This window comes from Homo sapiens, chromosome 15 (assembly GCF_000001405.40).
Source record: "Homo sapiens chromosome 15, GRCh38.p14 Primary Assembly".
Classification (NCBI taxonomy): Eukaryota; Metazoa; Chordata; class Mammalia; order Primates; family Hominidae; genus Homo; species Homo sapiens.
In genome coordinates, this window is record NC_000015.10 from 40,511,387 (window position 1) to 40,528,214 (window position 16,828).

The 16,828-nt window shown below is 44.2% G+C and overlaps 1 protein-coding gene across 1 annotated transcript in view, besides 3 other annotated features; it reads right to left on the reverse strand.

Moving 5' to 3' along the window:
• Nucleotides 218-427: a silencer, noted in NCBI's record as "silent region_6337". NCBI's record gives its function as "represses an Ori minimal core promoter by ATAC-STARR-seq in GM12878 lymphoblastoid cells {active_cell/tissue: GM12878}" and the evidence as "EXISTENCE:reporter gene assay evidence [ECO:0000049][PMID:35858748]".
• Nucleotides 8,404-8,698: an enhancer, noted in NCBI's record as "tiled region #12089; K562 Activating DNase matched - State 5:Enh". NCBI's record gives its function as "activates a minimal TATA promoter and a strong SV40 promoter by Sharpr-MPRA in K562 cells {active_cell/tissue: K562}" and the evidence as "EXISTENCE:reporter gene assay evidence [ECO:0000049][PMID:27701403]".
• Nucleotides 8,753-8,862: an enhancer, noted in NCBI's record as "active region_9246". NCBI's record gives its function as "activates an Ori minimal core promoter by ATAC-STARR-seq in GM12878 lymphoblastoid cells {active_cell/tissue: GM12878}" and the evidence as "EXISTENCE:reporter gene assay evidence [ECO:0000049][PMID:35858748]".
• Nucleotides 9,607-16,828, reverse strand: part of CCDC32 (coiled-coil domain containing 32) — a 44,050-nt gene continuing 36,828 nt past the window's right edge. The window contains exon 4 of the mRNA NM_001382439.1: nucleotides 9,607-9,789. Within this exon, the coding sequence (NP_001369368.1) occupies nucleotides 9,747-9,789 (43 nt within the window). The 3' untranslated portion in view covers nucleotides 9,607-9,746. The remainder of the gene's footprint in view (nucleotides 9,790-16,828) is intronic.

A 16,828-nucleotide genomic window follows, 5' to 3' on the forward strand; every position in this document is an offset into this window, starting at 1 on the left:
CTTAGTTCACGCTGGTTGTAGGCGCCAGGCAGTGAACCGCGTCTCCGCTCTTCTGTCCCGCAGCGATCGCGCAGGTCCAGGGCCCGCTCCAGGGCACCTGGCCACGGTGGCTCCTAACCCTGGCAGATAACAGGCCTCTGTGCGCTCCGCTTGACCCCAGCGCGGCCCCAAGCTCCGAGGCGGGCTGGGGGCGTCCTCACTGCGCGCCCTCTGATCATGGCTCTGGCCTCACGCCTCTAGCCGCCGCGTAAGAGCCGAGGAGCGCGCAGGGGCAGGTTCCCTGGCCGGACGCTCCCTCCCCAGGGCCCGGGTCAGGGTCAAGGTCTCGGCTCTGCTCGTACGCAGCACCGCCCCTTGGCGCAGAGCCTGCGGGAATGTGCGGGCCGCCCCAGCGCCGACCTCGCGCAGCCGGTTCTGCCGCCGCCTCCAGGGCGGAGACTGGCTGCCCGCTTGGACTAGGCGGCGGGGCGGAGCGGAGGCCGCGGTCTGGGCGTCCGCGCGGTGCGGACTGTATGTGCCTCCCACGATGGCCCGTGGGGCCTGCGCTCTGCCCGATCAGATGGAAAAGAACGTTTTAGATTGAAGTTTTAAGACGACTCTCCCGATGCCGCTTGAACTGGGTACAGGTGTGTGTAAAAACAGGGTCACAGGCTCAGTGCATTCAGTGATGATGCAACTGTGGCTGAGCGCCAAGCCCTCCGGCAGGCAACGCCGGACAGGCAGCCCTCCAAACCCACAGAGGAGCGCGACCCCTCCCCATGTCTGCACCCCACCCGCCTCTGCCCTCCTCTCTGCTCCCCAAACCTCTACTTTGGGGATAAGTATTAACTCTCCTGGCTCTGACATCCCACCTGATGAATGTCCCTCTGCAAGGATCTGGGGTTGCCCTACACGTGTTTGGGCCCTCTTTTTTCGGGCCTCTGGCTTTAGCCATAGACCTTGGTCTTTGTCCTGCTTTCTCCTCTGCCTCACCATCACCCTGTTTTCCGTATGACCCAATCTCCTTCCAACACCCCAGTCCCTTCATCAGCAGCCCCAATCCTGATGCCTGAGCAACTTCATTAAAAGTAACTACCATCCACCATCAGCCCAGGATCACTCAGCTCCTTCAGCTGTAACCCTAGAATTCAACTCTCATAGCTATCCTCGCCTTCATTTCTTAGACTTCACAATTCTGTGGTTATTTCTGTCTCTCTATTCCCCATGCTCACTAATCTCCATCCTTAACATGCCCCCACATGCTGCCCTCCAGCTTTTTTGTCTCCATGGTCCCTGACTCAGACCTTCCCTCCTGAGTGGGGCCCCCACCTCCCTTGAATCTGGGATCACTGGCCCAGCCCAGCACAGAATCTTCTCCTGATGTTGGCCTGATGGAGTTTGTGTGTCCTGCTGGTGTCCGCATGTTGAGACTCCAGCTGCTGCCCTGCTCCAGGCCCCAATCCCAGCCTGCATCCTCATGTGTGCTCCCAAACCGGTCAGTGGAGTCCAGAGACTTGGCAGGACCCTCTTCTGTCCAGCAGGCCTGCCACAGTCTACAGAACAAATTCCAGTTCCTGCTGCTTCTGCTGAAGGAATTGGAATCCCATTTCTTTTTCTTTTTCTTCTGTGTTTGTTTTTGTTGTTGTTGTTGTTGTTGTTGTTTTTGAGACAGTCTTGCTCTGACACCCAGGCTGGAGTGCAGTGGTACCATCTAGGCTCACTGCAACCTCTGTCTGCTGGGTTCAAGCAATTCTCATGCCTCAGCCTCCCAAGTAGCTGGAATTACAGGCGGGTGCCACCATGCCCAGCTAAATTTTTTTGTATTTTTAGTAGAGACGAGGTTTCACCATGTTGGATAGGCTGGTCTCAAACTCCTGGCCTCAAGTAATCAGCCCACCTCAGTCCCCCAAAGTGCTAGGATTACAGGCGTGAGCCACCGTGCCTAGCTGGAACCCCATTTCTTAATCTCACCTGCCATTAAAGGTCCTGCATCCTCCTGGGTCCTCCTGGAACAGAAGTTATACTAGCCTTCACGGTGAAGGAGGAGCAGCGCTTAGCCTCATCCTTCCTCCCGGCACACCCAGGGATGCTATTGGGTCAGCCAAACATTACCACCAAGAATTGGTAAAGGAAACAAAGGCTGGTTTGATCTTCAGAGTCTTGGCTGCTCCTGTTTCCTAAAATTGATAGTGACTACATCGTTACTCTCTGAGTACCTACTGAGTATAGTAAGGGACTCCCAGAAGGGGAAAGCATCGTCCTCTTCCCTGGCTTAACTAAATCCTACCCCTTCCATCAAGGCCCAAGTCCTACACAGCTGAGGGCTTAATTAGAGCCTACCTTTATCACTCGCTGTGGTCTTCTCTGTCATTGCTGTTTCCAGAAAGAGACAGTGATGTCATCTCTGTGCCTCTGGTCAGCTCTGGAGCATCCGCCACATCTTAGGCTGGACAGCCAATCACATGCCAAGGGAGGCTGGGCTCCCCCTTCCAGGGGCTCTCAGGGTGTGTGCTGTGGATGTGTGCCCAAGAAGGTGTGTGTGTTCATGCGTCTCTCCTGCCCCAGGAGGCCTCTGCGGAGTTGTTCTTGGCCCATCACTGAGGACATGCTGTGTCCTGCCTCTGGATTCTGGATGAGAGCAGGAGTCCATCCTGTTGGGGATTCACACTAAAATACTGCTTCCCACATTTGAGGATTTCTTGCACCATGAAAGACTTCGTGGGGAGGGGCCAACAGGGGATGGCTAACTTTTTACTTTGCCAAGCAAGTTCATTCAAAATAATTACTATTGGCTGGGTGCAGTGGCTCATGCCTATAATCCCAGCACTTTGGGAGGCCAAGGTGGGCGGATCACTTGAGGTCAGGAATTTGAGACCAGCCTGGGCAACATGGTGAAACCCCGTCTCTACGAAAAATACAAAAATTAGGTGGGTGTGGAGGCGTGTGCCTGAAATCCCAGCTACTTGGGAGGCTGAGGCACCAAGAATCGTTTGAACTGGGGAGGCGGAGGTTGCAGTGAGCTGAGATCCTGCCACTGCACTCTAGCCTGGGCAACAGAGCGAGACTCCATCTCAAAAAAAAAAACAAAAAACCCAACAAAACAAAAAACCACCATCTACTATCCCATCAGTTCATAAATAAAGACTTTCTAATTCCCAAAATATGGAAATGACATCATTTTAGATGAATATCCATTTGTTTAACTTTTTGTTTTAGAATAATTTCACACATAAAATTTGCTACAATAGTACGATGAACTCCTATATACTCTTCACCCAGATTCACCAGTTGCTAATGTTTTGCTATATTAGGTTTATGAGTTTCTTTTTTAAAAAAAAAATTTTTAAGACAGAGTCTCACTCTGTCACCCAGGCTGGAGTGCAGTGGCTCAATCTCGGCTCACTGCAACCTCTCTCTCCTGAGTTCAAGCAATTCTCCTGCTTCAGCCTCCCAAGTAGCTGAGATTACAGGTGTATGCCACCATACCCAGTTAATTTTTGTATTTTGAGTAGAAACATGGTTTCACCATGTTGGCCAAGCTGTTCTGGAACTCCTGACCTCAAATGATCCACCACCTCGGCCTCCAAAAGTGCAGGGATTACAGGCATGAGCTACTGTGCACAGCCTTGGTTTATGATTCTGTCTCTCTACATTCATACACACAGAGAAAGAGAACACGTGCACAAGACAGAATACTCCCTGTTTATATAAATTTCTTTACTGAATTATTTGAGAGTAAATTATAGACATTGCACCTCTTTACCCTGAAATACTTATGTACTATCACCAAAACCAGGAAACTTAACATCATTGATATAATATTATAATCTACATAATTGATTAAAATTTTGCCAATTATCCTAATAATGTCCCCTCTCCCTCCCCCTGCTGCTACTTCTCTCTCTTCTCCCCTTCTCCTCCTCCCCACCCTCCTTTTCTTCCTCCTTCTCTACACCCTCTTCCTCCTCTTTTTCTTTTCTTTTTCCTCTTCTAGGCATTGCTTTCTCTGGCCCAGGATCCATTCTAGGATCACACGTTGCTTTTGGTTGTCATGTCTCTTCAGTTTCCTTCAATCTGTTGACAGTTTCCTCAGGCTTTCTTTTGTCTTTCATGACATTGACATTTGTGTGTATGAAAAGTACAGGCCTGTTATTGAGTAGAAGGTCCCTCAGTTGGAGTTTGTCTGATGTTTGCTCATGGTTACACTCAAGTAATGCATTTTTGCCAAAATACCACAGAAATGATACGTCCTTTCTCATTGCATGACATCAGAAGGCATATGACATTGGTTTGTCCTATTTAAGAGATGTTAACTTTGCTCTCTTAGTTAAAAGGGTGGCCACCAGATTTCTCCACTGTCAAATTACCATTTTCCCCTTTGTAATTAGTAAATAATTTGTTAAGTGGATTAATAAGTCTTTTAAAGGAAATAAAATCTTCATTTTACGTCTTCCTAAATGAGTCTTTTTTTTTTTTTTTTTTTTTTGAGTTGGAGTCTCGCACTGTTGCCCGGGCTAGAGTGCGATGGCGTAATCTTGGCTCATTGCAACCTCTGCTTCCTGGGTTCATGCGATTCTCCTGCCTCAGCCTCCCAAGTAGCTGGGATTACAGGTGCACCCCACCACACCTGACTAATTTTTTGTACTTTTAGTAGTGATGGGGTTTCACTGTGTTGGCGAAACTGGTCTCGAACTCCTGACCTTGTGATCTGCCTGCCTCAGCCTCCCAAAGTGTTAGGATTACAGGCGTGAGCCACCCCACCCGGCCAATAAGTCTTTTAAAGGAAAAAAGGCTTTTTGAAAAATTCATAACATAATCCTTATTTTGGACTGACTCTTAAAAACCCTGGCACAAGAATGCAAGCAAATTACTCATTTATCTATCAAATCCTTGAGTACTGCATGTGCCAGGTACTGCTCCAGACCCTGCCTTCTCCATCTAACTCCCTCTTTAGTCATCCTGGACAGACTGGCCCCAGGCTTGGGTCCCCAAAGTCATTTCTTGAGCCGCTTGAAGGCAGGAGCTGATACAGAGACACAGTAGGTAGTGGTTCTGGAATCTAGTGTACCCACAGTGTAACAAGGAGACCTGCTCTCAACTCTATGGATACAGCAAGGCTCTTCTGTGATGAAAGAAATAATATTGCTGACATATGTGTTTATATTTTAATTAGCTTTCTCTGAGTTACACTGTAGTAACAAATAACCCAAAACTCTTAGTGGCTTACAGTAAGAAGGGTTTATTTCTTATGCACATTTTATGTCGGCTGTGGTCATTGGTGGTTCTGCTCTGTGTTGTCCTCTCCATTCTGGGATCTGGGCAGAAGATGTAGCCTCTATTTGAAATATGTAATCCTCATGGCAGAGGGAAAAGGAAAGTGATAGAAGTCTGCCATAGTTCTTAAACCTTCTGCAGGGAAAAGCATAGTCATTTCCACTTACATTTATTGGCCACCTCAAGTCGTGTGACCATGCCCGCCATTAATGGGACAGTGAAGTGTATTCCTCCTAAAAAGGAGTGCCGCAAGTCACATAGCAAAAGGAGAGGACGTATAATCACCTCACAGGAAAGGATAGAATAAATCAGAACCAATAATGCAACCAACTATGGTAGAATTCTTTTTTTTTTTTAATTGAAACAGAGTTTCACTCTTGTTGTCCAGGCTGGAGTGCAGTGGTGCGATCTCGGCTCACTGCAACCTCCGCCTCCCAGGTTCAAGCAATTCCCCTGCCCCTTCTGAGTAGCTAGGATTACAGGCGCCTGCCACCACGCCTGGCTAATTTTTTGTATTTTTAGTAGAGACGGGGTTTCACCATGTTGGCCACACTGGTCTGGAACTCCTGACCCCAGGTGATCCACCCGCCTCGGCATCCCAAAGTGCTGGGATAACAGGTGTGAGCCACCGCACCCAGCCGGTAGAATTATTTTATACAGGTTCTCTGCACCAACCTTCCAATTTACAGAAAACAGAGAGGGCCAGAGGAACAAGTTAAACAACACCATGAAGAAACACTCACTCAATCCAAAATGTGGAACATTCTGTAAGAAAGCTGGCCTGGAGTCTTCAAAAAGACAATGTTATAGAAAAAGAAAGAAGCGACTCTTCCAGCTTAAAGGATACAACAATTCATAAGCTTGGATTGAATCTGATTTTTAAAAATCTATAATTAGGGACAATTGGGTAAAATGTTATATAAACTAAATATTAGATGATATTAGAGAATTATTGTTAACTTTTTAGGCATGATAATGATTTTGTAGTTATGTAGGGGAATGTCCCTCTTTTAGGAGATACATGCAAATATATTCAGAGGTGAAGTGACATAACATTTGCAATTTACTTTCAAAAGGTTAAGCAAAAAAGTATTCATGGCTGGGCATGGTGGCTCATGCCTATAATCCCAGCACTTTGAGAGGCCGAGGTGGGCAGATCACCTGAGGTCGGGAGTTCAAGACCAGTCTGACCAACATGGAGAAACCCTGTCTCCACTAAAAATACAAAATCAGCTGGGCGTGGTGGCGCATGCCTGAAATCCCAGCTCCTCGGGAGGCTGAGGCAGGAGAATCATTTGAACCCAGGAGGCGGATGTTGTGGTGAGCCGAGATTGCGCCATTGCACTCCAGCCTGGGCAACAAGAGAGAAACTCCATCTCAAAATATATATATATATTTATAAAGAGAGAGAGCAAAGTTGTATAATGCCTAAAATGTTGAAGCTTGGTGGAGAGTGGAGGGGTGTTAATACTATTCCTTCAAATTTGCTGTTTTTAAAATTCGTAAAAATAAAAAAATAGGAGAAGTATATAGGTGTAGTTGTGATTAATAAAAATAAAGCGGCAGAGTGCAGTGGCCTCACACCTGTAATCCCAGCAGTTTGGGAGTCTGAGGCGGGGTGGATCACGAGGTCAGGAGTTTAATACCAGCCTGACCAACATGGTAAAACCCCGTCTCTATTAAAATCAGAAAAATTAGCCAGTCATGGTGGTGGGCGCCATTAATCCCACTACTCAGGAGGCTGAGGCAGGAGAATCCCTTGAACCCAGGAGGCGGAGGTTGCAGTGAGCCGAGACTGCACCATTGCACTCCAGCCTGGGCAACAGAGCGAGACTTGGTCTCAAAAAATAAATAAATAAATAAATAAAGCTCACTTTAAAATGTTTCTGAATTTATCTTAAACAAAGTAACATGAGGAGAAAAAGAAAAATTATTTTGAAAAAGAATAAAATGTTTCTGAACTTATAGTATTTTTTAAATCGTTATAATTTTCTCTATTGGTTTAATCTCCACTAACATATGAGGAGAAAGCCCTTAATTTTTATTTTATTTTATCTTAATTTTTTTAGAGACAGCGTCTCAGTCTGTCAACCAGGCTGGAGTGCAGTGCCACGATCATAGCTCACTGTAGCCTCAAACTCCCAGCACTGTGGGAGGCTGAGGCAGGAGGATCACTTGAGCCCACGAATTTGAAGCTGTAGTGAGCTATGATCACGCTACTGCACAAAGTGAGACCCCGTCTCAAAAAAATTAAAAATAAATAAATAAGGTAGAAAGCCTCCTAATTAAGCCTTTCTGGAAAGTCTTAACTAATATACTGTATTATATGAAACACCTTACAAACTTCATATCCACTTTGTCTTGGGAATTTAACTAAGAAAAGAACCGTGGATTTCTGTAAAGATTCAGCAACAAGGAAGTTCATCCCAGCATTATTTACTTCAGTGAAAAAAAAATGGGTATAATTTAAGTGTTCCAACAATAGTTGGTTAAATAAACTATGGCCCAGTCACCCAAAGAAAGGAATACAATACAGCCATCAAAAATTATGTTGTGGGCCGGGTGTGGTGGCTCATTCCTGTAATCCCAGCATTTTGGGAGGCTGAGGTGGGTGGATCATTTGAGGCCAGGAGTTTGAGACCAGCCTGAGCAACATGCGAAACCCCGTCTCTACAAAAAATACAAAAATTAACCAGGTGTGGTGGTACATGTCTGTAATCCCAGCTAACTCAGGAGGCTGAGGTGGGACGATTGCTTGAGCCCAGAAGGCTAAGGCTGCAGTGACCAGAGACTGCACCACTGCACTCCAGCCTAGGTAATAAAGCAAGACCATGTCTCCAAATAATAAAATAAAATAAAAGGTATTGCAGAACAACAAGTGAAAGATACTCATACAATGTATTTAACAAGTGGAAAGATACTCGTACAATATATTTAGTTTATGAAACAACAGTATGTACTGTATAATCCTGTTTTTGTTAAAAAAAGAAAAAAAACAGAAAAAAGACTGGAAGAATATACACTCAAGTGCCTAATATCTTGGTTATCTCTGGAGGTTGGATTTACAGATAATTTTTATTATTTTATTTTTCCTTATATCTACTTTAAAAATGTTATAAAGTGAATGTGAATTACTTTTAAATTAAGAAAAAAACATAAAAATGATATTTGAAGGAAGGCTACTGAATTGCCAAATATTTTCTTCTGAAGAACATGAAGGAGCCCCCTTGTGGGTCCCTGGACCCTTAATCAGAGCTGAGACCAACCCAAGCCGCAAGGTGGCAGTGCTGTTCGCTGAGGCTGCCCTTGGGCTGAGCACTCTTGGGCCACACCCGTGAGAGTGCCCCCTCCCCCAGTTTCCCTTTTACCCCAACACACATGGGCACCCCCTGAAAGAAGAGACAACTTGGTGTGCACAGCTGCTCTGCCCATCTTTGCACCTAAGTCCAGGGTGACAGGGGAGTGGAGACGACAAATCAAGAATGTCCTTTCCTTGGAGGAAACTGGGAGGCTTCCCCCAACAACCATTGTCTCTGAATGTGGCTCCAGCTGCCAGATTGTGTGTGCGTGTGTGTGTGTGTGTGTGTGTGTGTGTGTGTGTGTGTGTGTGTGTATTCTGCATGTTTTGCTTATTGTATCGTTTTTCTTGGATGTTGTGTATTTGTTTTAATGTTTAGAACTTGTTCTTTTATTTCAGAACAATATGAACAGAACACAATGTTGAAGAAAATACATTTACTTTGTACCCAATTCTATGCATATTTTCTTCTGCTTTCCAGTCCACACGTTGTTCATCATATTGGAAATCCTCTCTACACCTGCTTTGAAGCAGGATCAATGCACTATACTGATATAATTTCAGCAAATAACTACTGACATGAATTCATAAATGGCATCATTTTGCATTCTGCTCTGTAGGCTTATAATAAAAGTACTTCGTCTACAAAGCAATAATGCAACTTTATTTATAAAATCATTTTCCAATTAAGAAAATTTTCAATGGTTTATAAAAGTGGACATTTGCACAATCTTTTTCATAATTCATGAAATTGTTTAAAGTGTAAAATTCAGTATTTTTTAGTATATTCACAGAATTCTGCAACATCACCAGAATAAATTTTAGAATATAATTGAATCTTGAACAACGTGGAGGTTAGGGGTGCCAGCCTCCCTGCAGCTAAAAATCCATGTATAACTTTTGACTCCCCCAGAGCTTAACTACTAATAGCCTTCTGTTTACCTGAAGCCTTAGTGATAACATAAACAGTTGATTAACGCATATTTTGTCTGCTATATGTATTATACTCTTACAATAAAGTAAGCTAGAGAAAAGGAATGCTATCAGGAAACTCATAAGAAAGAAAAAACTATGTTTACTATTCATTAAGTGGAAGTGGATCATCATAAAGATCTTCATCCTTGTCATCTTCGCGTCGAGTAGGCTGAGGAGGAGGAGGAAAACGGGTTGGTCTTGCTGTCTTGGGGTGGCACAGTCAGAAGAAACTTTGTCTATCAGTGGACCAGTGCAGTTCAAACCTGTGTTGTTCAAGAGTCAACTGTATTTTCATCACCCCCGAAAAAGAAACCCTATATCCATTAGCAGTCACTCCTCATTTCCCCTATATATTTGCATATTCTAGACATTGCATATAGATGGGATTATACAACGCGTGTCTTTTGTGACACTTTTCTCACTTGGCATAACGTTTTCAAGGTTCATCCACGTTGTAGCATGTATCAGTACTTCATTCCTTTGTAGTGCCAAATAATATTCCATTGTATGGAATTTTATTTATCCATCCATCAATGGATGGATATTTGGGTTATTTCCACTTTGGGCTACTATGAATAATGCTGCTATGAATATTCATATACACGTTTTTGTGTGGGATATACCTAGGAGTGAAATTGCTGCATCATATGACTGTTTTCCAAAGTGGATGCACCACTGTACGTTCCCACTAACAATGTATGAGGGTTCCAGTTTCTCTACATCCTCGCAGACTCTTGTTATTGTCTATCTTTTTGATAATAGCCATCCTAATGAGTGTTAAGTGGTATCTCATTGTAGTTTTGATTTGCCTTTCCATGATGGCTAGTGGCCATTTCTGTATCTTCTTTGGAGCTATGTCTATTCAGATCCTTTGCCCATTGTTTAATTGGGTTATTTGTCATTTTATGATTGAGTTGTTAAAGTTCTTCATAAATTCTAGACAGCAGTCCCTTATCAGATATCTGATTTGCAGATATTTTATGCCATTCTGTGAATTGTCTTTTCACCTTCCTATTGGTGTTCTTTGAAGCACCAAAATTTATAATTGTGATAAAGTCCAGTTTATCTATTTTTTTCTTTTGTCACTTGTGCTTTGGCCCATACCAAGGTCACAAATATTATTCCTATATTTTCTTCCTATATTTCTTCTAAGAAATATATGGTTTCTCCAAAGTAATGCAGATTATTTAAAAAAAGAGAAAAAAAGAAATATGTGGCATGTAGGGTGTCAGATAGGGGTCCAATTTCATTCCTTTGCAGTTGTATATCCAGTTGTCCCAACACCATTTGTTAAAAATACTATTTTTTTCTCCATTCAATTGTCTTGACACTCTTGTTGAAAATCAATTAATCATAAATGAAAGGGTATACTTCTGGACTCACAATTCTATTCTATTGCTTTATGTCTATCCTTATGGCAGTACCACACTGTCTTGATTACCACGGTTTTATAGGAAGTTTTGAAATTAGGAAGTGTGAGCCCTCCAACTTTGTTCTTCTTTTTCAAGACTGTTTTGGCTATTCTGGATTCCTGGAATTTCTATATGAATTTTAGAATCAGCTTGTCAATTTCTACCAAAAAATCCAGCTGTGATTTTGCTGTAGATTGCAATGAATCTGTAGATCATTTTGGGGAAAACTGGCATCTTAACCATGTTAAGTCTTCTGATCAATGAACATAGAACGTCTTTCCTTTAATTTAGGTGTACATCTGCTTTTTAAATGTTACTGGGCAGGGAGCTTAAATATCAGATGGTTCTAGTTTATTCTCAAACACTTGGGTAACTTGAGTAAAGCCCATTAAGCATGTAGATGTCACTCAGCAAAGCCTGAGGAGGACAGTCCCTACCTTTGCAGTACGGACAGTTGCTCAGCATAACTCAGAGGTGCTGCCACAGGTTTCTGGTTTTCCTTTCTTTTTTTTTTTTTTTTTTGAAACTATTTCGCTCTTGTTGCCCAGACTGAAGGGCAGTGGCGCAGTCTCACTCACTGCAACTTCGGTCTCCAGGGTTCAAGCGATTCTCCCGCCTCAACCTCCCGAGTAGTGGGGATTATAGGAGTATGCCACCACGCCTGGCTAATTTTTGTATTTTTAGTAGAGAGTGTGTTTTCGCCATGTTAGTCAGGCTGGTCTTCAACTCCTGAACTTACCTAAGGTCAGGAGTTTGAGACTAGCCTGGCCAACATAGTGAAACCTCATCTCTACTAAGTGATCCACCCACCTCAGCCTCCCAAAGTGCTGGGATTACAAGAGTGAGCCACTGTACCTGGCCAGCTGCTGGTTATCTGTTACAAGAAAAGGTGGATAAGCGCTGGGCGCGGTGGCTCATGCCTGTAATCCCAGCACTTTGGGAGGCTGAGGTGGGTGGATCACCTGAGGTCAGAAGTTCAAGACCAGGCTGACCAACATGGAGAAACCCCGTCTCCACTAAAAATACAAAATTAGCCAGGCATAGTGGCGCATGCCTGTAATCCTAGCTACTCAGGAGGCTGAGGCAGGAGAATTGCCTGAACCTGGGAGGCGGAGGTTGTGGTGAGCCAAAATCCCGCCATTGCACTCTAGCCTGGGCAACAAGAGCGAAACTCCATCTCAAAAAAAAAAAAAAAAAAGGAAAAGGTGGATAAGTCTCTCTGGATTTATTTTCCTTACCTGTAAAAAGGAAATAACCATAATTACCTCAACTACTTCAGTAAAATTGTGTTGAACAAATTTTTTGAATTATAAAAGTAAATAGGTAAAAGATAGTTTATTAAATAGGATATAAAAAGGGTCAATAAACAAATGAAAATATGCTCAATATCAATAGCCAACTGAGAAATGCAAATTAAAGCCACAGTGAAATACACACCCACCAGAATGGCTAAAATTAAAGACTGATACTACCAAGTCCTGATGAACACATGGAACAATTAGAACTCTCATTCATTGCTGGTGGGAGTGTTAAATGGGACAACCACTTTAGAAAACATATTGGCAGTTTTTAAAAATAAAACTAACAGACATAACAGTAGTTCCATTTTGTGGTATTTACCCAAGATAAAAGAAAATGTATATTCACAGAACAGCTGTACATGAATGTTCATAGCTGTTTTATTCACAGTAGCCAAAAACTGGACACAAATATCAGTTGACGGGAGAATGGATAAGTAAATTGTGGTATATCCAGAACAATTAAAGACAAGTCAGTAATTTAAAAGAAGAACAAATTATTGATACACACAACATGCATAATCTTTTTTTTTTTTTTTTTTTTTTTTTTTTGAGACGGGAGTCTGGCTCTGTCGCCCAGGCTGGAGTGCGATGGCGCGATCTCGGCTCTGCAAGCTCCAGCCTCCCAGGTTGACGCCATTCTCCTGCCTCAGCCTCCCGAGTAGCTGGGACTATAGGCACCCGCCACCACGCCCAGCTAATTTTTTGTATTTTTAGTAGAGACGGGGTTTCACCGTGTTAGCCAGGATGATCTCGATCTCCTGACCTCGTGATCCGCCCACCTCGGCCTCCCCAAAGTGCTGGGATTACAGGCCTGAGCCACCGCGCCCAGCCACAACATGCATAATCTTAAAAATATTATGTTGAGTGAAAGAAGCCAGACACAAAAGAGTATGTACTGTATAACTGGATTTATGTAAAATTCTAGAATGGACAAAACTAAGCTATAGGGACAGCAGATCAGTGGTTGCCTGGGGCTTATGGGGGTTGGGGCAATTGGCTGCAAAGAGGCATGAGAGAACTTTCTGGAATGATGGAAAGGCTCTGTCTTCATTGGGGTGGTGGTTACATGTGTGTATACCTTTGGAAAAATTCATCAAGCTGTTCTTTTTCTTTCTTTTTTTTTTTTTTTTTTTTTTTTTTTTTGGAGACTGGGTCTTGTTCTGTTGCTCAGGTTTTCTACAGCCTCGACCTCCTGGGGTCAAGCAATCCTCCTGCCTCAGCCTCCTGTGTAGCTATGATTACAGGCCTATGCCACTATGCCCAGCTAATTTTTTAATTTTTTGTAGAGGCAGAGTCTCGCTATGTTGCCCAGGCTGGTCTCCCAACTCCTGGGGCTCAAGCATTCCCCTCACTCAGCTTCCCAAAGTGCTGGGATTACAGGCATGAGTCACCATGCCCAGCCAAGCTGTTCTTTTTTTTTTTTGAGATGGAGTCTCACTCTGTCGCCCAGGCTGGAGTGCAGTGGCACAATCTCAACTCACCGCAACCTCTGCCACCCGGGTTCAAGCAATTCTGCCTCAGCCTCCAGAGTAGCTCGGATTACAGGCGCCTGCCACTGTGCTTGGCTAATTTTGTTGTATTTTTAGTTGAGATGGGGTTTTACCATCTTGGCCGGGCTGGTCTCGAACTCCTGACCTCGTGATCCACTTACCTTCGACTCCCAAATTGGTGGGATTACAGGCGTGAGCCACTGCGCCCGGCCAATTTTTGTATTTTTAGTAGAGACAGGGTTTCACTATGTTGGCCAGGCTAGTCTCAAACTCCTGACCTTAGGTAATCCGCCCGCCTCAGCCTCCCAAAGTGGTGGGATTACAGGCATGAGCCACCATGTATGGCTGAGCACTCTTCCTCTAAAGTCTCCCCAAACTATGTTATGTCTCCTAAATTCTGAAAAAGTCCTTCTAAATATTCTAAAGCCACACTCTTTTAGACTTATTTCCAAGACCTCAGGGAGGCCTACCAGTCCTTCTCAGGCCACTGTAACTGACCTGAAGTGTCCTCTTACCCAGACCTCAGCTCCTTTGACCTCACCCTGGCAGGCCACTGGGACCTCGCCTGCTCCTCAGAGCTGACCCTGCCTGACACCCCTTGTTTCTCCCTTAAGCTTTGAGTGCAGAGACCCAGGACATTCAGGATTCAGCCACAGGTGCTCAGGGAATACTGGGTGGCCTCTGGCCTGGGTTCTCCAAGCCTTAGAAGCCACCCACCCATAATGTCTGGTCCACCCAATGCCCTGGCCCTTGGATGCTCATACTTTGGTGTCTCTCCTTAGGTATAAATAAAATAGTGTCAATAATTACATATCTTTGTCCTTGGCCTTTTTTTTTTTTCTCTCCATGACCTGCAAGTCACCGTGGATGGTGGCTGGGGTGGTTGGGCTTTACTGTTCTTTCCCACTGAGAGTGCAGACGAAAGACCTCTGCAACAACACCTGTGAACTGCCTGGTGCCTGTGTGGGCCCACTGCGGCCTCACCTCACACAATGTGGGCTGTGTAGACCAGAGCCAGAGAAAGTTAAAGCTGCTCATGCACTAGGGATAAACACAATTGACAGTGGTTACTGTCCTTCCAGAACATTTTTTTTCATGAAAATATGTGGGCTTGTTTGTAAGTGTGTGTTGGGGGGTCATTTGTTTTTAACAGGCTGGGCTCATGCTCTTTCAGCTCAATAAATATTTATTGATTAGCTACTGTATGCCAGGTACTGTTTTATATAACTGAAAATAATACTGTAACTTGCTGTTTTTTCTTAAAAGCATAAAATCTTTCCACATCAGTACATAATGATCTCCATCATTATTATTGACAGTCACATGGTAGTCCATAGCAAGGCAGTTTCACAACTCCAGAATTTAACTAATTTTAGACATTCAGATTGTCTCCATATACTTTTCCATTACAAGTAATGCTGCAGTGAATGCCTTTGTCATATGACCTTGTACACATTTGTAAATATTTCTAATAGACTCCTATAAGGGAAACTGCTTAATTAGAACAAATGTGCTGGCTGGGCGCAGTGGCTCACACCTGTAATCCCAGCATTTTCGGAGGCCGAGGCGGGCAGATCACCTAAGGTCAGGAGTTCAAGACCAGCCTGGCTAACATGGCAAAAACCCATCTCTACTAAAGATACAAAAATTAGCTGGGCATGGTGGCATGTGCCTGTAGTCTTGGCTTCTCAGGATGCTGAGGCAGGAGAATCGCTTGAACCTGGGAGGTGGAGGTTGCAGTGAGCGTCACTGCACTCCAGCCTGGGTGATAAAGCGAGACTCTGACTCATAAAAATAATAATAATAAAGTAAATATACTGAATTTTTTATTTTACTTTCTTTTTTGAGACAGGGTCTTGCCAGAGCAGCAGTACACCGATACAGGAGTACAGTTATGTGATCTCAGCTCACTGCAACCTCTGCCTCCCAGGTTCAAATGATCCTCCCGTCTCAGCCTTCCAAGTAGCTGGGATTATAGGTGCAGGCCACCATGCTGGGCCGATTTTTGTATTTTTAGTAGAGACAGGCTTTCACTGTGTTGCCTAGGCTGGTCTCGAACTGCTTTTTTTTTTTGTAACACTGTCTCACTCTGTCACCTAGGCTAGAGTGCAGTGGCACGATCTCAGCTCACTGCAACCTCTGCCTCCCGGGTTCAAGCATTTCTCCTGCCTCAGCCTTCCGAGTAGCTGGGACTACAGATGTGGGCCACCATGCCTATCTAATTTTTGTATTTTTAGTAGAGATAGGGTTTCACCATGTTGCCCAGGCTGATCTCGAACTCCTGATCTCAAGCGATCCACCTGCCTCGGCCTCCCAAGGTGCTGGGATTACAGGCGAGAGCCACCGCACCCCACCGAATGTTCTTAATTGTTGTACATAGGTGCTATGGTTTGAATATTTGTACCCTCCAAAACTCTTGTTGAAACTTAATTCCCAGTGTGGCAGTATTGGGAAGTGGGGTCTTTAAGAGGTGATTGGATAATGAGGGCTCTGCTTTCTCACAGATGGGTTCTTTCATTCATAAATTCGTGGATTAATGGGTTACTGTGGGAGGGGAGCTGGTGGCTTTATAAGAAGAGGAAGAGAGACCTGAGCTAGCACATTAGCACGTTCAGCCCCCTCACCATGTGGTGCTGTGCTCTGCCTTGGGACGCTGAAGAGAGTTCCCACCAGCAAGAAGGCTCTCACCAGATACAGCCCCTTGACCTTGGACTTCTCAGCCTCCATAAGAGTAAGAAATACACTTCTTTTCTTTATAAATTGCTCAGTTTTAGATATTCTGTTATAAGCAACAGAAAACAGACTAAGATACCAGGTATCAAGATTGTACCCATTCATTCCGCTACTACTAGTGTACAAGAAGGCCCTTTCCCCTACTCCCTGTGGCCTATCTTCAGTAATTTTGTCAATTTGATAGATAAAAATGGGCAATAATCTTTTCAACAGAAATCAGCCTCAGCGGTCGATACTGACTGAGCAGTTTACAACCTTCAGCACAGGGCACTTCTAAAGTGTAAACTGAGAGAGGCGAAGCTCTGGCCGCTCTCATGGGGAAGATTCGGATTTGGCTAACACTTGCACGGTCAGTCATGTACGTTC